The 19208-nt window shown below is 43.4% G+C and overlaps 1 protein-coding gene across 3 annotated transcripts in view, besides 7 other annotated features; it reads left to right on the top strand.

Moving 5' to 3' along the window:
- Positions 625–974: a silencer, noted in NCBI's record as "silent region_11577". NCBI's record gives its function as "represses an Ori minimal core promoter by ATAC-STARR-seq in GM12878 lymphoblastoid cells {active_cell/tissue: GM12878}" and the evidence as "EXISTENCE:reporter gene assay evidence [ECO:0000049][PMID:35858748]".
- Positions 625–1344: a biological region, named in NCBI's record as "H3K27ac hESC enhancer GRCh37_chr2:65357023-65357536".
- Positions 827–1340: an enhancer, noted in NCBI's record as "H3K27ac hESC enhancer chr2:65357023-65357536 (GRCh37/hg19 assembly coordinates)". NCBI's record gives its function as "activates a minimal SCP1, AML or CMV promoter by ChIP-STARR-seq in primed H9 embryonic stem cells {active_cell/tissue: H9 hESC(primed)}" and the evidence as "EXISTENCE:reporter gene assay evidence [ECO:0000049][PMID:30033119]".
- Positions 1085–1344: an enhancer, noted in NCBI's record as "active region_15926". NCBI's record gives its function as "activates an Ori minimal core promoter by ATAC-STARR-seq in GM12878 lymphoblastoid cells {active_cell/tissue: GM12878}" and the evidence as "EXISTENCE:reporter gene assay evidence [ECO:0000049][PMID:35858748]".
- The window catches only part of RAB1A (RAB1A, member RAS oncogene family), a 43253-nt gene continuing 25167 nt past the window's right edge, over positions 1123–19208 (top strand). For all 3 annotated transcript variants that reach the window (NM_015543.2, XM_005264468.3, NM_004161.5), the window contains exon 1: positions 1123–1336. In NM_015543.2, coding sequence (NP_056358.1) covers positions 1314–1336 — 23 coding nt within the window. In that variant the 5' untranslated portion in view covers positions 1123–1313. The remainder of the gene's footprint in view (positions 1337–19208) is intronic.
- Positions 1341–1855: an enhancer, noted in NCBI's record as "H3K27ac hESC enhancer chr2:65356508-65357022 (GRCh37/hg19 assembly coordinates)". NCBI's record gives its function as "activates a minimal SCP1, AML or CMV promoter by ChIP-STARR-seq in primed H9 embryonic stem cells {active_cell/tissue: H9 hESC(primed)}" and the evidence as "EXISTENCE:reporter gene assay evidence [ECO:0000049][PMID:30033119]".
- Positions 1475–1524: a silencer, noted in NCBI's record as "silent region_11576". NCBI's record gives its function as "represses an Ori minimal core promoter by ATAC-STARR-seq in GM12878 lymphoblastoid cells {active_cell/tissue: GM12878}" and the evidence as "EXISTENCE:reporter gene assay evidence [ECO:0000049][PMID:35858748]".
- Positions 3379–3918: an enhancer, noted in NCBI's record as "H3K4me1 hESC enhancer chr2:65354445-65354984 (GRCh37/hg19 assembly coordinates)". NCBI's record gives its function as "activates a minimal SCP1, AML or CMV promoter by ChIP-STARR-seq in primed H9 embryonic stem cells {active_cell/tissue: H9 hESC(primed)}" and the evidence as "EXISTENCE:reporter gene assay evidence [ECO:0000049][PMID:30033119]".

The raw sequence follows: 19208 nt of genomic DNA, 5'->3' as shown, positions 1-19208 counted from the left end.
AGAAATTGTAGGCACTATATAGTGATGAATTGCCTATTTTTATTGCTTATTATTTTCCAGTCTTGCAGAATGGCTCAGGGTTAGTAGCAACTAAAAGATAATACATTACAATTCAACCTGAAGGCCGGGACGAAGGTAGGAATTGGATTTTAGGCTGGCTCTGGGCTGTGTCCCTCCCATCCATGGGATGTGGAGCCATTGAAGGTTGTGGGGTCACGATGCAGGTGCTGTCTCAGAAAGATACATCCGACTGTGTGTGCAAATGGGCTGGGGCGGAGAGGAGAGAGAGAGGTAGAGTCCATTTGGAGACTACTGCAATAGCCAGGCTGACGAGTTAAGAGCGGGGCACAGTAAGAATGGGAAGAAATCTAAGAAGAAAATGGTAGTGCGCGGGGCCAACAATGGACGATGACCGAACCCAGGTGGGGATGGGTGAGTGACGAGAAGAACCGCTCCGTGCCGTCCAGGGAGCCCCTTGACTTCCCTTCTGTTCTTAGAGCGGACGTCCTCCTACCAGCCCCCAACCAGCGCCACCAGGGTGGCGCAAGCCTCAAGCTGGTCAGGTCAGCAACAGCCGCAACGGAGGCAGGAGCCGACACGCTCGTACCCCGGCCCCCTCCCCGCCCCCGCACCCCCGGCAGTCCCTCCGGTTTGACCACTCCCCCCGGTCCCTTGCCTCCCCCGACCCCCAGCCTCCGTCGGCCGCCGGCACCACCCTCCGCCCCTCTCCGCCCCCTCCCCCGTGGGGCGCTGACTCGCCCGGCTGCCACGTCTCACTGATGACATCACTAGGGCAGCTCGGCCTTAGCCAATCCGCCAGGGGGAGTCCGAGCGAAGTCCTAGCCAGCGAGTCAGAGGGGAGGGGAGCAGGGAGGGGCCGAGGGTGGGGAGGTGAGGGAGTGGGGAATGGGGCGGGCGACAACCCTTCAGGTACGCATGCCCCAGAGGCGCGGCGCTTGGCGGGAAGCTGAGTCCTGGCCTTGCGTCGCACTGTCTGTCCTCAGCTCGCGTAGCCGCGCTCGCGACTCCCTTTCCCGGCATGCCAGGCGGTGCGGCCGCCCTCTGGGCCGTGTAAAGGCCCCTCGGTCTAAGGCTTCCCTATTTCCTGGTTCGCCGGCGGCCATTTTGGGTGGAAGCGATAGCTGAGTGGCGGCGGCTGCTGATTGTGTTCTAGGGGACGGAGTAGGGGAAGACGTTTGCTCTCCCGGAACAGCCTATCTCATTCCTTTCTTTCGATTACCCGTGGCGCGGAGAGTCAGGGCGGCGGCTGCGGCAGCAAGGGCGGCGGTGGCGGCGGCGGCAGCTGCAGTGACATGTCCAGCATGAATCCCGAATAGTGAGTTCAGGAGAGCACCGGTCGGCTGGGTCCGTGGGCCAGCTTGGGGGATCTTAAAGGGGTCGAGGAGGGTTGGGGCAGAAGTCGGGGCATCGGCTGGGGTGAGGCGAGGGTGATGGGTCAGGAGAGGCTGGCGGCCGGGAGTCGGGCCCCATTGTCTGACGCGGAGGGGCGGCCGCGCGGGGGAGGGGTCGGGCCGGAGGGGTGAGCCGCCCGGGCCTGGACCGGGTCAGGTTAGAGGGCCTGACTGCGGGGCGGGTGCTGAGGAAGCCTGCCGAGGGGCCTGGGGCGGTGTGAAGGGGTATCTTCTCTCGGAGGCAGTGACTTTTGAAGGAGGACTTGTCTCTAAGGGGAGGGGATGGGGTGGGAGAGCCCTTCTAGAGGGCACTGTCAGACCCTGCGCCCGCACTCTGCGGAGCTGTCAGGATCTTCGGGGTAGAAACCAGCTTTACTTGTAAATCCTGAGCTTGTTGGCTCTCTCTCCTTCCATCCTCCCCGCCAGGTTTCAGGTAATATGGATGCTTTTCGGGACTGCGTGGGATTGAGGGGAATGAGTAGATGGTGAGAAGCAACTGAACATTTATTAGTTCTCTTTTTGAGTTGTGTCTTGGAGGAGTTGTTTAAGAGCTCGCCGGGTCCATTGCCCTCCTATAAAAACCTGGGCATTTGTGAGAATTTTGTTTTTTTTTTTTTTAAAGAGGACACCTAAGTCATTTTGTCTTCTGTGGGTCAAGGGAAAAAAAAAAAACTAAAGCCAAGAAATGTCTTTTTGATACTCGCAGATTAAAGGAAGCTTGCTGTCAAGTTGAAAGAGAAACGAACGGGACCTATGATAGATCTGTATGTAGGTTTTGGATTACCTGCTTGGATGCTTGCAGATAGGGAATGAGGTTCCATGACGTGTCATGAAAAGTTAATGCATTTCTTTTTCTTGCTTACTCAAGAAGTCACCACAGCAGATGTGACACACCTGGCACCTTTCCTGGGAACTGGTGTTCACTTCCCTTGGGTAGAGTTTGTTGGGCTCTCCTCAATGGCCCTTTAAAAATTTCCTCTACAGTTTACATGCATGTAAAGTAATGAATAATTGGAAGAGACCGAATTGGTATTCCTTTTCAGTGTCAAAGGCCTTTGAGGGATGGGGGAACATCAGTATTTGTTGTAAAAGTTGAGTTTATTTGCTGGTTTGGTCAATTACTGCTAGACATTTTCCCCTAAAAGGTCCACCCACCAGTTTAGCTGACTGTCATATGTGTGTCACATGGCTCTTGCAAAATGCTTACAAGTTTTGTAATAGTGTGGCTTGAAGCTGAAATCTTTTGCACTAAACAGAAACCGTAGTATTTTATTAGAATTTCATGTTTTAGAAGTTGAGGGTAGTGTTCTTGTAGTGACATTTGCTGTGTTGACAGTTTAAAAAAAATTTTTTTTCAAGGGCTCCAAGGACAAAGTTGGTTTTGCACAGTTGAACGGAGGTGAACTTGAGGTTCTTAATTTAGTAGTTTTCTTGGTAACAATAAAGAACATGGATTTACTGCTTTATCGAGGTTTATAGACCTCTACTGTTCAGGAAATTTTCTGAATTTGCTATATATATGTTTATTAGTGTAAATAAATCTTCAAGATTAGTTGAGAACTTTGACAAGTTACTCAGCCTCTGAATTTTTTTTCCCTTTTGTAAAATAGGATAATTGGAGTCATTATTCCTGTCAGGGTAGTGGTGAAATTCAAATGTATATAAAAGAATTTGAAAAACCGTGTGAGCATTCTTCAGGTGGTATGCATCATTTTCATGAAAGGCATTCTATTAGTACCAGGATTTAGGAATATAATCCTTGCGCTTAAGAAGTTTAGATATAGGCCAGGCGCGGTGGCTCACCTCAGTAATCCCAGCACTTTGGGAGGCCGAGGCGGGCGGATCCCGAGGTCAGGAGATCGAGACCATCCTCGGTAACACGGTGAAACCCCGTCTCTACTAAAAATGCAAAAAAATTAGCCGGGCGTGGTGGTGGGCACCTGTAGTCCCAGCTACTCGAGAGGCTGAGGCAGGAGAATGGCGTGATCCCGGGAGGTGGAGCTTGCAGTGAACCAAGATCTGGCCACTGCACTCCAGCCTGGACGACAGAGCAAGACTCCGTCTCAAAAAAAAAATTATTTATTGTTTTGAGACGGAGTTTCAATCTTGTTGCCCAGGCTGGAGTGCAATGGCGCAAATCTCCTCTCACCGCCACCTCCGCCTCCTGGGTTCAAGTGATTCTCCTGCCTCAGATTCCCGAGAAGTTGGGATTACAGGCATGTGCCACCACTCCCGGCTAATTTTGTATTTTTGGTAGAGACGGGGTTTCTCCATGTTGGTCAGGCTGGTCTCAAACTCCCGAAGTGATCCGCCCGCCTCAGCTTCCCAAAGTGTTGGGATTACAGGCGTGAGCCACCGCGCCCGGCAGAAATAGATTTTATACATGTCAAATACCAGTAGATATAGCAAATTCCAGATGTGTGGCATGGATGAGAGCAACAAGATTTCAGGGGGATGGTGGGTTGTGGTTGGCTATCTGGGTTTTGGAAGACTTTATAGAAGAGAGACCTGAAAGGGATTTATCAGCAATTAGATTTGGAGGAACAGAGGGAGTGACTAGGAATTTTCAAGGGGGAGAAGAAGGAGGAATGGCTCATAAATGACAAGGACAGTAATTAATAAGTAAATACGGTGTCAAATCATCCTTTCTTTTGAAGACTAATGACCTCAAAGGGATCAAACCCAGAAACAGTTTTTATATTTTTTCTGGGATCAAATACATGGGTATCTGGCCTACTATATTTGTATTCTAGACTGTTTAGTAAAATAATACAGGAATTTGAGAAAACCTTTGCAAAAGTGTTAGTGAAAATTACTTAGGGTGAGAGGAAGTGAGGGATATTTTATTAGGGGAGGTCACAAGGGCAGTGAGCAATCAGATTTTTAGTAATCTGACTTAAGCAGTTTCTTTTTGTTTTAATGAAGCTTGTTATCTTTATAAAAGTAATTAGAGAAAATTTGGAAAATAAAGGAAAGAAAGAAAAGTTCTTTAGTGTTTTATCACGCAAATACAAGCTCATTCGTTTTTAACATCTTGTTCCAAACTCCAAAGTCTTGCTTTCTCTTCAATTAAAACTTTAATGGGTGGATGCTTTTCCTGCTTCCAGTATGTTATCTTAATAACTAACAATGGTATATTAGCTAATGTTTACAAATGTACTCCAGATGTTCCTTAAGTTACTTTGGTTTATCATTACCAATTTATATTGTTTCTTTTAGAAATTTATAATCTTTGTTAATGGGTTCTGCTAAATTTGGTAGTGAAAATGGGATCTTGAGAAAAAAGATTCTGAAGCAACAGAATTTTTAGATTTATATTGGTTTACATAAGAGTTGGTAGCTGTATTACTTTTTTTGTTTGTTTTGTTTTTTTTTTGAGACGGAATCTTGCTCTGTCGCCCGGGCCTTGGCCTCCCAAAGTGTTGGGATTACAGGCGTGAGCCACTGTGCCTGGCTGTTTGTGTTTTTTTTTGTTTTTGTTTTCTTTTCTTTTTCTTTTTTTCGAGATGGAGTCTCACTCTGTCACCCAGGCTGGAGTGCAGTGGCGCGATCTTGGCTCACTGCAATCTCTGCCTCCTGGGTTCAAGCGATTTTCCTGCCTTGGTCTCCTGAGTAGCTGGGATTACAGGCATTTGCCACCATAACCAGCTAATTTTTGTATAGAGTACCCAGCCATCTCTAATGTTGATCAGGCTGAAGCAGGTGGATCACCTAAGGTCAGGAGTTCAAGACCAGCCTGGCCAATATGGCAAAACCCTATCTCTACTAATACAGAAAATTATCTGGGTGTGTTGGCTGGCGCCTGTAATCCCAGCTACTCGGGAGGCTGAGGCAGGACAATCTCTTGAACCTCGGAGGTGGAGGTTGCAGTGAGCCGAGATCACACCATTGCACTCCAGCCTGGGCAACAGAGCAAGACTTGTCTCAAAAAAAAAAAAAAAAAAAAAAAAAAGGCAATTGAAAGTGTAATCTGAACAGTTAAAAAAGTAGATAGAAAGGGTTAAAGCTTTTTTTTGAGGATCTGAAGAAAAATGTGGATTTTTTTTGAGCTACGTTTTGAAGCAGGCAGTGATTATTTCAGCACATTAAGAAATGCTTAACATGGCCAGGCGCAGTGGCTCACGCCTGTAATCTCAGCACTTTGGGAGGCCGAGGTGGGCGGATCATTTGAGGTCATGACCAGCCTGGCCAACATGATGAGACACTGCCTCTACTAAAAATACAAAAATTAGCTGGGTGTGGTGGTGCACGCCTGTAATTCCAGCTACTCAGGAACCTGAGGCAGGAGAGTCACTTGAACCTGGGAGGCGGAGGCTGCAGTGAGTCCAGATCATGCCACTGCACTCCAGCCTGAGGGACAGAGTGAGACTCCTCAAAAAAAAAAAAAAAAAAAGAAAGAAATACTTAACATTATTCTCGTGATTATTCTCATAACATTTTTCATAATCCACTGGCTTCCAGTGGATTTTTTTAGTGTCAAGAAAATAATTTTGATTGGTTCATCTTTAAGGAATGTGTTAAGAATAAAGCATGTCTACCTGTCTTCAGTATACCAGCTAACTATAGTAGGAAGAAATATAGTAGTCTACTTAGATCAACTATAATTCTTTAATGCAGAAAAAGTTTAAAGTATTTACCTTATTTTTAGCCCCCATCCCCTTAAGTATATCATGGCTCCAGAATCTCTGAAAATGTTATCAGTCTTTCAGACTTTGCTCTTCTTTCATGTTATACTCAAGAAACATTTGACCTTTTTTTTTTTTTTTGCTTGCATTGTGTTTCAAATAATTTTTAACAAAACTTAAGTGTTTGAAAGTGAAAGCAGGTTGTCTTTGTGACTTTTGGTGGTGGTTTGAAAAACTCAGAAAAGTTTAAAGAAGAAAGATAACTAGTATTCTCATTGTCCAGAATATGATTTTTTAAATGTCTATAGAATATCACCATCTGTAATTCTTCCGGTAATTTAAGTATTCAGTAGTTGTATAAAACCTTTAAAATATATATATTGAGAATTTTGTGTGAATGAGATGATGAGATAATCTTGTAGGATCATTTAAAGATAAGAACTGAGGCCTGGCACAGTGGCTCATGCCTATAATCACAGCACTTTGGGAGGCCCAGGCGGTAGATCACCTGAGGTCAGGAGTTTGAGACCAGCCTGGCCAACATGGCAAAACCCTGTCTCTACTAAGCATAGAAAAATTAATTGGGTGTGGTCGTGCCTGCGTGTAGTCCCAGCTGCTTGGGAAGCTGAGGCGGGAGAATCTCTTGAACCCTGGAGGTGGGCATTGCAGTGAGCTGAGATTGCGCCACTGCACTCCAGCCTGGGCGACAGAGCAAGACTCTGTCTCAAAATAAAGTAAAATAAAATGAAGATAACAACTGAAATTTCACATTAAAAATTTTTTTGTAGCGACTGTGCCTCCTATGTTGTGCAGGCTGGTCTCAAACTCCTGGCCTCAAGCGATCCTTCCAAAGCACTGGGTGGGCCACCATGTCCAGCCTGAAATTTTGCATTAAAAAATTTCCCGCTTTTGGCTGGGCGAGGTGTCTCACGCCTGTAATAGCAGTTTGGGAGGCCGAGGCAGGCAGATCACTTGAGGTCAGTTCTAGACCGGCCTGGCCAATGTGGTGAAACCCTGCCTCTACTAAAAACACCAAATTAGCTAGGCGTGGTGGTGTGCGCTTGTAGTCCCAAGCTACTGAGGAGGCTGAGACAAGAGAATCGCTTGAATCTGGGAAAAAGAGGTTGCCGTGAGCCAAGATTGGCCACTGCACTCCAGCCTGGGTGACAGAGTGAGATTCTGTCTCAAAAAAATAAAAAATAAAAATTTCCCCCTTTAATCAAATTAAGTTAAAATGAGGGATGTTAGACAGTTTTTAACCATCAAATATTTTAGTTTAGTTTTTTTTTTTAACGTTGTCTTAAAGATGGAAGTGCTTCAAAATCAAATCTTCCTTGCCAGTTCTCTACTTGGCTTCTTTTTTTTTCTTTTTGAGACAGAGTCTCACTTTGTCACTGGAGTGCGTTGGCGTGATCTCGGCTCACTGCAACCTCCGCCTTCCAGGTTTAAGTGATTCTTCCACCTCAGCCTCTCAAGTAGCTGGGAGTACAGGTGTGTGCCACCACACCCGGCTAATTTTTGTAGTTTTAGTAGAGACAGGGTTTCACTATGTTGGCCAGGCTGGCCTCAAACTCCTGACCTCGTGATCCACCCACCTCAGCCAAATTGCTGGGATTACTTGTGTGAGCCACGCGCCTGGCTTCTACTTGGCTTTTAAAGGGAATTTTGCTTTCTGAGTAATTTTATTTCTCAGGTATCTTGGTCTTTTTAATTCTGGAAGCAATCTTAATAATTTATGTATGTGCCCTGTAATCCCAGCACTTTGGGAGGCCGAGGTGGGCGAATCACGAGGTCAGGAGATCGAGACCATCCTGGCTAACACGGTGAAACCCCATCTACTAAAAATACAAAAAATTAGCTGGGCGTGGTGGCAGGCGCCTGTAGTCCCAGCTACTTGGGAGGCTGAGGCAGGAGAATCATTTGAACCCGGGAGGCAGAGCTTGCAGTGAGCCGAGATCGCGCCACTGCACTCCAGCCTGGGCGACAGAGCGAGACTCTGTCTCAAAAAAAAAAAAAAAAAAATTTACGTATGTGCTAACATCCTGCTATATTCACCTTCCATAGCAATCTGTTGGCTGTGTGTTGTGTATGTGTGTGTTTTCTCTTCTGGGTAGTTTTGACTATACCTATGTGATGGTTTCACTATTTGTAGTTTGAATAGTTCAGTTTTATTTTGGATAGTAAAGAAGAGCTTGCTTTTTTTTTTTTTTTTTTTTTGTCTGAGACGGAGTCTTGTTCTGTTGCCCAGGCTGGAGTGCAGTGGTGTGATCTGGGCTCACTGCAAGCTCTGCCTCCTGGGCTCACACCATTCTCCTGCCTCAGCCTCCCGATTAGCTGGGACTACAGGTGCCCGCCGCCAGGCCCAGCTAAATTTTTGCATTTTTTAGTAGAGATGGGGTTTCACTGTGTTAGCCAGGATGATCTCCTGACCTTGTGATCCACCTGCCTCTGCCTCTCAAAGTGCTGAGATTACAGGCGTGAGCCACCACGTCTGGCCAGAATAGCTTTCTTTTGTGGCAAGCTATATACTTTCCTAATATATGAACATGTTTAGGGTAAAATAAGATGCTTCTTAACGTTTTGAGATTTAAAAAAAATTTGCTAATCAACTTTGAGTGTCTGTTTTTTGAGATATAGGGTCTTACTCTGTCACGCAGGCTACAGTGCAGTGATGCAATCATAACTTACTATAGCCTCCAACTCCTAGCCGGGTTTCAGTGATCCTCCCACCTCAGCCTCCTGAGTAGCTGAGAATACAAGCGCGTGCCACCACACCTGGCTAATTTTTTTTTTTTTTTTGTATTTTTTGTAGGGATGGGATTTCAATATGTTGCCCCAGGCTAGTCTCAAATTCCTGGTCTCGAGATCCACCTGCCTCAGCTTCCCAAAGTGCTGGGATTATAGGCATGAGCCCCACGCTTGGCTGAGTGTCTTAAGATGAAGAAAAACTGAAAATGGGTGTAGTGTGCCAGTGCATGAGGTATTTTAAATGTGTAGCTTACCAGCTTTTTTTTTTTTTTTTTTTTTTTTTTTTTTGAGATAGAGTCTTGCTCTGTCACCCAGGCTGGAGTGCAGTGGCACAATCTTGGCTTACTGCAACGTCTGTCTCCCGGGTTCCAGCATTTCTTCTGCCTCAGCCTCCTGAGTAACTGGGACTACAGGCGTCCACCACCACGGCCAGCTAATTTTTATATTAGTAGAGATGGGGTTTCACCATGTTGGCCAGGCTGGTCTCCAACTCCTGACCTCAGGTGATCCGCCTGCCTTGGTCTCCCAAAGTGCTAGGATTACAGGCGTGAGCCACTACGTTTGGCTGCTTATCAGCTTTTTACCACTTTGTCGCCACTACATTTTGGAATTTTCCTTTGAGAATTAGGCAAAATGCCCAGACTCCCCCCCGGCCCCCGCTTTAGAGGGAGAGGGGAGCAATTAGACTATTCCTTTGTTTCCCTATAGAAGGTGGGGCTGAGATTACTGCTTTGATATCTGGAATGTAATTTAGGGAAGAAAATTTAGGTCTTGGCCTTTCTTTGGAACCACCCTGGGAGTGTTGCAGATTATTAATAGGGTAATGGTGGAATGATATTCAGGGGAAAAATGGTCCTGAGGAGCCAGAGAACTAAGTGTTAGTTTGTTGGCTGACTGAAACATGTGAGAGATAGGGTACAGAAGAAGTAGGAAATAGTTTTCCTTGGTACTTCTGTGACAGGTTGGCTCAATTGGCTGGAACACCCTACACTGCTTTATTAAATCCAAGGTTGTGATAGGTTCCAGTTAAGTTTACTGTGTTCTATGCTTGTAGATTTCCTAATTAGGACAAGTAGTGTTAAATATGCATGCCTTTATTCACAAGAGGGACCATTCTTTTGGAAACATCACTTTTTAATAATACTAGGTGCTATTTAGCACTTACTCGGTGCCAGCCACGTGGCTATGGTTTTTTTTTTTTTTTTTTTCGAGACATGATCTAGCTCTGTCTCCCAGGCTGGAGTGGTGGTAGCACAGTCATGGCTCACTGCAGTCTCAACCTCCTGTACTCTAGTGATCCTCCTGTCTCAGCCTCCTGAGTAACTGGCACCATGCCTGGCTAATTTTTTTTTAAGAGATGAGATGTCGCTATGTTGCCTATGCTGGTCTCGAACACCTGGGCTCAAGTGATCCTCCTGCCTGAGCCTCTCAAAGTGTTGGGATTACAGGTGTGACCCACCTCACTTGGCCATCTATGGTCTTTACATAGGGCATTTTGTGCAGTCTGCGTCTCAAACTAGTGATCTTCAACAGTGAAACTCAGTGAATTATGTAATTCATGTTTTCCAAGAACAATGATGGATTTAATTTCTCTGAATGTATTTCCTTTGTATAATAATAGTACTTAAGTGGAATTACTCTTTGTCCTTTCTACTCTCCTTATAGATATTTTCTGGTATCTTGATTTGGGACTGTTACATTTAACCCATTTATGGTCGTGTAGCCATACTCACGTTACATTTGATGCATCTGCTCCCTTTGTGTCTATATACTCATATAACATTTTGCATAAAGTTATAGGCAGTTCACACCAAGGCTGTTCATGAACCTCAGATTAAGAATACTTGATTTAGGAGATTGAAAACAGAAAAGAGAATGTTAACTATCATTATCAATATTAAAATGTGAAAATCTGAGAGTGACAAAGCTTAGCTTTAAATCTGGTATCCCAAACTCATTTGAGTTTTTTTTTTTTTTTTTTTTTTTTTGAGACAAGGTGTCGCTTTGTCCCCCAGGCTGGAGTGTAGTGGTGTGATCTTGGCTCACTGCAACCTCCACCTCCCAGGTTCAAGTGATTCTCCTGCCTCAGCCTCTGAAGTTGCTGGGATTACAGGCTGCGCCACCACGCCCAGCTAATTTTTTGTATTTATAGTAAAGACGGAGTTTCACCTTATTGGCCAGGCTGGTCTCAAACTCCTGATCTTGTGATCCTCCCGCCTCGGCCTCCCAAAGTGCTGGGATTACAGGTGTGAGCCACTGTTCCCGGCCTAATTTGAGTTTTAAAATGTGGAGTTTAAGATGTTAGTCTTAAAGTGGGTTAGATGAAATTTATAAAAATAGTCAAATAGCTAAATTTATAAAAGGCCATTTGAAACAATTTTGTGAAATATATAATGTGGATAATTATGTAGTGCTTTATGTGTAGATTGGTGGTTAGCATCTGCCTGATGAAGAGCAGTTGGATTTCTTACTTACTAAAGCTAGTGAAATCTGAACTCCAAATTAGGCATCTTCACCAGGCTTTTTTGAGCCGAGCTAACTTACTCTCTTTTTTATTTTTATTTTTTAATTAATTAATTTTTTTTTTTTTTTTTTTTTTTTTGTAGAGACAGGATCTCCCCATGTTACCCAGGCTTGTCTCTGGCTCCTTGGCTCAAGCAGTCCTCCTACCTTAGCCTCCCAAAGTGCTAGGATTACAGCTGTGAGCCACTGCGCCAGGCTGAGCTTATTCTCTACTAACACAAGTGTTCTAATTTAATTTAAGCAGTGAATCACACTTTTCTTTGTATTTGGTCAGGTTCTGGGTGCTAGTTTATATATGATTTGATTCATTCTGATAGGGTTTTTTTGTTTTTTTTTGTTTTTGTTTTTTTGTTTTTTTTTGAGACAGAGTCTAGCTCTGTCGCCCAGGCTGGAGTGTGGTGGCTCGATTTCGGGTCATTGCAACTTCTGCCTCCCACCCAGGCTGGAGTGCAGTGGCTCGATTTCGGGTCATTGCAACCTCTGCCTCCCAGGTTCAAGCGATTCTCCTGCCTCAGCCTCCTGAGTAGCTGGGATTACAAGCACCCACCACCATGCCCGGCTAATTTTGTGTATTTTTAGTAGAGACTGGGTTTCACCATGTTGACCACGCTGGTCTCGAACTCCTGACCTCAGGTGATCTGCCTGCCTTGGCCTCCCAAAGTGCTGGGATTACAGGTGTGAGCCACCACACCAGGCCTCAAGAACTTTTTATTTTTGAGACAGGGTCTCACTCTGTCACCCAGGCTGGAGTACAGTGGTGAGATCATGGCTTACTGCAGCCTGGACTTCCCAGGCTCTGGTGATCCTCCCATCTCAGCCCCTGGAGTAATTAGGAATATAGACACACACCCATGCCTGGCAGTTTTTGTATTTTTTTTCTTTTTTCTCTTTTTTTGTAGAGACTGGGTTTCACATGTTGTATCAGGCTGGTTTTGAACTCCTGAGCTCAAGCAATCCTCACTCTTTGACCTCCCAACGTGCTGGGATTACAGGCATGAGCCACTGTACCTGGCCTTTTCTACATTAAAAACTTTTTATTAAAAAACCCAAATCTTCCTTGTGGTTGTATATACATATATACATAGGTACACACATGGAGAATTTTACCTTGGAGGAAGGCTTGGTAAAGAAAATAGCCCTTTGGGCCGGGTGCGGGGGCTGACGCCTGTAGTCCTAGCACTTTGGGAGGCTGAGGTGGGCGGATTGCCTGAGCTCAGGAGTTCAAGACCAGCCTGGGCAACACAGTGAAACCCTGTCTCTACTAAAATACAAAAAATCAGCTGGGTGTGGCAGCATGTGCCTGTAGTCCCAGCTACTTGGGAGGCTGAGGCAGGAGAACTGCTTGAACCCGGGAGGCAGAGGTTGCAGTGAGCCGAGATTGTGCTACTGCACTTCAGCCTGCGCGACAGAGCAAAACTCTGTCTCAAAAAAACAAACAAACAAACAAAAAAGGAAAATAGCCTTTCTCTATCATCAGAGTATATTAAGAGTTGAGTTTTTTTTTCTGTTTTTTAAAATTTTTGTTGTTTATTTTAAATTACAAAACATGGACTCTGCTTACAAATTAAGAAAATGACTCATGTTCAAACAAGCATAATCAATATAACAGTTAATACAAGTTAAATATTGTAATATGTTTACGGAATAGCATGGCAAAATAGTGCAAAAGATTTGGGGAAGGGGCCTATAATTTCTGTTAACAGAAAGTTTTAGTTATGTTGATTCAACTGGAGAGGAACAGAGCTCCCAGAAGGACTCCAGAACACTTGATGCTTGTCTGAGTGGGGTCAGCAGCACTGAGTTCCCACCAGACAGAAAGTTTGTGTGTGTACATTATTTCCCTTAACTGCCACAATAATCCCATGAAGAAAATGCCCTAGTTTTACAAACAAGGAAACAGAGGCAGAGAAGAGTTAAATGACTTGCCCAAGGGCATTCAAAGTAAGCAACTGAATTGGAATTTTAACTCAAAGGCTTGGATGTCCCACTACAACAAATAGGCTGTTTCTGCTTTACTACATGTGCTTACTTCTAAGAATTTAACATTTTAGGCTGGTTGTGGTGGCTCACTCCTGTAATCTCAGCACTTTCGGAGGCTGAGGTGGGTAAATCACTTGAGCTCAGGAGTTTGAGACCAACCTGGGCAACATGGTAAAACCTCATCTCTACCAAAAAAAAAAAAAAAAACTAGCTGGACGTGGTGGCACGCGCCTGTGGTCCCAGCTACTCAGGAGGCTGAAGTAGGAGGATCGTTTGAGCCTGGGAGGTGGAGGTTGCAGTGAGCCCACATTGCATCACTGCACTCTAGCCTAGGTGACAGAGTGAGAGCCTATCTCACACACAAAAAAAAGAATTTAAAATTTTAGTCAAGTAATTAGGCACTAACATTTTGTGGTCAGTTACTTTACGAATTCATGGTTGGAGGCCTGATGTGGTGGCTCATGCCTGTAATCCCAGCACTTTGGGAGGCTGAGGCAGGAGGATTGCTTAAGGCCAAGAGTTCAAATCAGCCTGAGCAACCTAGTAAGATCCCCTTTCTGCAAAAAATTTAAAAATTAGCTGGGCATGGTAGTGTGCACCTGTAGTCCCAACCACTTGGGAGGCTGAGGTGGGAGGATTGCCTGAGGCCAGGAGTTTGAGACCTGGGCAGCATATGAAGACCCTGTCTCTAAAAAACTAAAAATAAAAAATAGCCAGGTGTGGTTGGTGTGCTTGTGGTCCCAGCTACTCAAGAGGCTGAGGCAAGAGGGTTGCTTGAGCCCAGAAGTTGGAGGCTGCCGTGAACTGTGATTGCACCACTGCACTTCAGCCTGGGTGACATAGCAAGACCCTGTCTCTGTGGTGGTGGTGGGTGGGGGTGGGGGAAGGATTTAAGAAGGGTTTGTGAGGTATGTATTATTTATAAATGGGCTTTTAACTTTACCCTTCACATCTTGGGTTGAAATTAATTGTATCCATTCTCAGTTTTTCTGTCTTGCTATATATTTAAACTTGGAGACTTAGAGGTCATGGATGTCTTTCTATGAAAAGCAAATGAAGCAGAGGGCTGCCTTCTCTTGCTGTAGAGGGCACACTTGCTGCAGAGCATGTTACTGTTTTATGCATTGCTAGGCTTTGGGAGTTGTGACTTGTATGATCATAGTACTTACAACTATTAGTTGGCAATTTTTAAACTTTAACTTTAGATTATATATGTAAACTCCTGTGTTCCTTTGTCACTGATAATCTGAACAGAAGCCTTGGATAAATAATTTTGAAGTTTTTGTCTGAACCTCTGAAATTTGTATTGTTATCTCATGGTTTTGCTGGGAGGAAGGAGAAATAACAATGGCCACTTACTGTGCTTCTGTATGTGCCAGACAGTATGTGCTAGATGTTTCAGAAACGTGATTTGTAATCCTGACAAGAAGCCTAATTGGGTGGTAGTGGGTGCTAATTGAACCTTATAGATGAGGAAATTGAGGCTCATGGTGGTAAGTGAATAACTTGCACCAAGATCCTATGGCTGGTATGCAGTAGAGCCTCAATTCAAGTACGGGTCTTCCAGGTCCAAACCCATGCAGGCTTTGAGAGGTAAGGAGGTAGAGAACGTTGACACCCCGTTCTTGGTGTGTTTTTCAGCAAATACTTGTATGCATATTAAAGACTGTCTACCCTTTTGTCATCTTGTGTCACTTGCTGCTTCCTTTGGTACTACCCAAATTTCTTTCAGCATTTCAGCTTTGAATTTTTATTTTTATTTTATTTAATTTATTTATTTTTTTGAGATGGAGTCTCACTCTGTTGTCCAGGCTGGAGTGCAGTGGCGTGATATCAGCTCACTGCAACCTCTGCCTCACAGGTTCAAGCAATTCTTCCTGCCTCAGCCTCCTTAGTAGCTGGGACTGGAGGTGCCCACCACCACGCCCAACTAATTTTTGTATTTTTAGTAGAGATAGGGTTTTACCTTGTTGGCCAGGCTGGTTTTGAACTCTTGGCCTCAAGTGATCCACCCACCTCGGCCTCCCAAAATGCTGGGATTACAGGCATGAGCCACTGCACCTGGCCAGCTTTGAATTTTTAGAATACTGTTCTAAACAGAACTATATTGGAACCTGGAAAATTAATCTATTGTCTCTAAATACCAAAGAAAAACATGTAATTTTAGTGGTTGATTATGGGAACAATTTTTTTTAAGATGGTTCATCTGAATGGAAGCATTTTTTTTTAATTGCTTGACTATTTCTTTAAATTTGGAGAAAAGACCATTGCCCTCTCAGATTTCTGGTAATTGGTCACATTGATCATTTATATTGACTGACAGGCTGCTTTGTCCACAGCTGAAGGATTGTTTAATTTTTTTTAAATTATAGGAATAATATGTGCTCACTGTAAAATTCACAGTACAGAAGCATATGAACTAACTAAAAGTTCTTACCTCTTGTCTCCAGCAAGGAGTAAGTGTTTCAACCTGAAGGTTGGTTTTGAATTGTGTTCTGTGGAGCATACTTAAAGTGAGTGAAGAAGAAAAATTTATGTCAATCATGATCATTGCAGCTGAAGTTTTTATTGTTTCACCCCCTAAAGGTTATTAAAATAGTATGTAGTTTAGTAGTCTTGATAATTTTCCCTTAAGATTTATTGGCCAGTATATCAGGATTTTGTTTTAAATTTGATATGTGAGCTTAGTTTTATGCTATTTTCAAATAAGACATTTAGAAGAAGATAAAATAACATTTCTGTCTTAGTCTGTTTTCTGCTGCTATAACAGAATAGCACAGACTGGGTAATTTATAAACAGTAGAAGTTTATTTGGCCTGTGGTTCTGGAGGCTGGGAACTTCAAGAGCATGGTTCTGCCCTTTGTGCTGTGTTATCATATGGTGGAAGGTGGAAAGGCAAGTGAGTATGTCAAGACAGAGAGCAAGAAGGGGCTTGAACTCACTTTTATAACAGAGTGACTCCAGAGATAGCTAACCCACTTTTGAGAGAATGCATTAATCCATTCATGAGGGCAGAGCCCTTGTGACCTAATCACCTCTCATTAGGCTCTGCATCCTTAAACTGGTTTTTTTTTTGTTTTTTTTTTTTGAGACGGAGTCTCGCTCTGTTGCCCAGGCCGGACTGCGGACTGCAGTGGCGCAATCTCGGCTCACTGCAAGCTCCGCCTCCCGGGTTCACGCCATTCTCCTGCCTCAGCCTCCCGAGTAGCTGGGACTACAGGCGCCCGCCACCGCGCCCGGCTAATTTTTTGTATTTTTTTAGTAGAGACGGGGTTTCACCTTGTTAGCCAGGATGGTCTCGATCTCCTGACCTCATGATCCACCCGCCTCGGCCTCCCAAAGTGCTGGGATTACAGGCGTGAGCCACCGCGCCCGGCCCCCCTTAAACTGTTGTATTGGGGATTAAGTATCTAACACAGGAACTTTGGAGGATACATTTAAACCATAAGAATTCCTGTCATGCAAATGAATCCATTCTAGATGAAAGAGAATGAATTTAGTTTCCATTGAACTTTATAAATAGGCCTTTTCTAAGGTACTTACAGCTGATATTATAAAATTTATATTTGTTTTTATAAATTTGTATTTGTATTTCTGTTTGTACAAATACAATTATACACTATAGTTCTCTGCTGTTAGATTTTTTTTCTTCCTTAGCATGTTTCCAAAGGGTGGAATGTTGAAAGTTGGGTTAATGTCAATCAGCTTTCTTTTGTAAAGTGTTCATTGACATGTGAACCTTGTCTGAGAATCTAAATTTTATTTCATGAAAGAAGAAAACAGTATATTCTCATTTAACCCAGAATTTAACTTCATATACTTGTGGCTGTATTGGGAGTATGCCATTGCTGTCTGTTTACAACCTGACCTACTCTACCTACTTAGAAGTAATTTGTGTTATGATAGGTGTGCTGTGCTGACATATGCTGAACATATTTGTAAGGGTGTTAAGTCATTGAATAAAACGCTTTTCTCCTCCTTTCAAATAACATTTTTTATTTCTGGTTATAAAAGTCATACAAGCTTACTGCAGGTTGTTAAAAAGGTATAAAGAAGAAACCGTCAATCCATTATAGTCCTACAGTTTAGACTTCCTGCTCCAGCCTCTCAGAGTGCTGAGATGAGCTAGCCATGCCCAGCCCCTCAAAAGATTTTTTAAAAAACAAAAATGAGGTTATACTTTAAAAAATTCTATATTCCTTTCACATAACAGTGTTATTTTGGAGGTTTTAGAATTTCCAGTAGCATTTTAGATTCAGAAACAAGCTGATTCATCCTCTACTTTGTACTTTAGGCAAGAAAAGAATTTTACCTAAATAGAATTTTGAACTGAAAATCTGTTTTTCTAACTTTTTATTTAAAGAATATTGTTCCATGCTTTCACAGTAGTGACTTTTAATTTTTATATTTTTTATTTTATTTATTTAGAGATGGGGGTCTCACTCTTGTTGCCTAGGCTAGAGTGAGTGCAATGGTTCTATTCCTAGCTCACTGCAACCTTGAACTCCTGGGCTCAAGTTACCCTCCTGCCTCAGCCTTCTAAGTAGCTGGGACTACAGGTGTGCACCACTGCACCAGGCTTTTTTTAAAGGCATAGAAAATGGTAGTGCTTGCATACAAAAATGGCGTAGGTACATACATCAGCGGACATCAAGACTATGTTCAGATCATAAATGTACATATATGTACCGATGCCATTTTTGCACGCAAACAAATAATGGAAATTGAACTCTAAACTGAAATTTGAAACAAGGGTTCTGGGGTGGGCCCTCTTGCTGATTTGTAATTGAATGTATAGTTCAATTTTTCCCCATCTGTTAAGCAAAAGACAATTCTAATGTTAGCAAAAATCCACATATCCTGTCATTGATCATTTTTTCCTTAATTTTCTTTAAGAGATGGGGCTTCTCTCTATGTTGCCCAGGCTGGTCTGGAACTCTTGGGCTCAAATGATCCTCCAGCCTCAGCCTCCCAAAGTGCTGGAATTAATAGGCACAAGCTGCCGTGCCTGGCCCTGTCATCAGTCATTTAACTTCATGCAAACTGAGTAGAATAAAACTCGTCCTTACTGTACCTTATTGCTTTTGTTTTATTGTTGGAACCTCCAATATTGCGAAAGTAGACCAAAAGTTGACTTATAGGAAAAACTGATAGCAAAAATAATTTTTCTCTTGTTGCTGTATTTCATGCCCACCATCCAGTTGTTAAAGCCTACTGTTAATTTCTCTCAGCCTCCTCCTTTCTGTCCAGGCTTATTCTATGCCATTCTTACCTTAACTGTTTTTAGCTTTCTCATAGAGTGAACTTTTTAAATTAAAATAAAATATCTGCTCGTAGTATTATAAAATTCAAGCAGTTCAACAGAATTTTTCACTAATAGAAATACTTGTACCTCAAAAGCAGCTTTATTTTACAAACCCAGCCCAATTTGTGATTAGATTTAACTTGAGAAAACATGAAATGTCTCTCATATTGTTTAAAAATATCATAAGTGGCTGGGTACGGTGGCTTATGCCTATAATCCCAACACTTTGGGAGGCTGAGGCAGGTGGATCACTTGAGGTCAGGAGTTTGAGACCAGCCAGGCCAACATGGTGAAACCCCATCTCTACTAAAATACAAAAATTAGCTGGGCATGGTGGCACACACCTGTAATCCCAGCTACTAGGGAGGCTGAGGCAGGTGAATCGCTTGAACCCGGGGGAGGTGGAGGTTGCAGTGAGCTGAGATAATGCCATTGCACTCCAGCCTAGGCAACAGAGCAAGACTCTGTCTCAAAAAAAAAAAAAAAATCATGAGCTAGCATTTTTGAAGTGATTGTTTGTCATTTTTCGTTTTGTTTTGTTTTGTTTTTTTTGAGATGGAGTCTTGTTCTGTTGCCCAGGCTAAAGTGCAGTGGTGCGATATCAGCTTACTGCA

This window comes from Homo sapiens, chromosome 2 (genome assembly GCF_000001405.40).
Source record: "Homo sapiens chromosome 2, GRCh38.p14 Primary Assembly".
Classification (NCBI taxonomy): Eukaryota; Metazoa; Chordata; class Mammalia; order Primates; family Hominidae; genus Homo; species Homo sapiens.
This window is presented reverse-complemented; position numbering and strand designations above follow the sequence as displayed.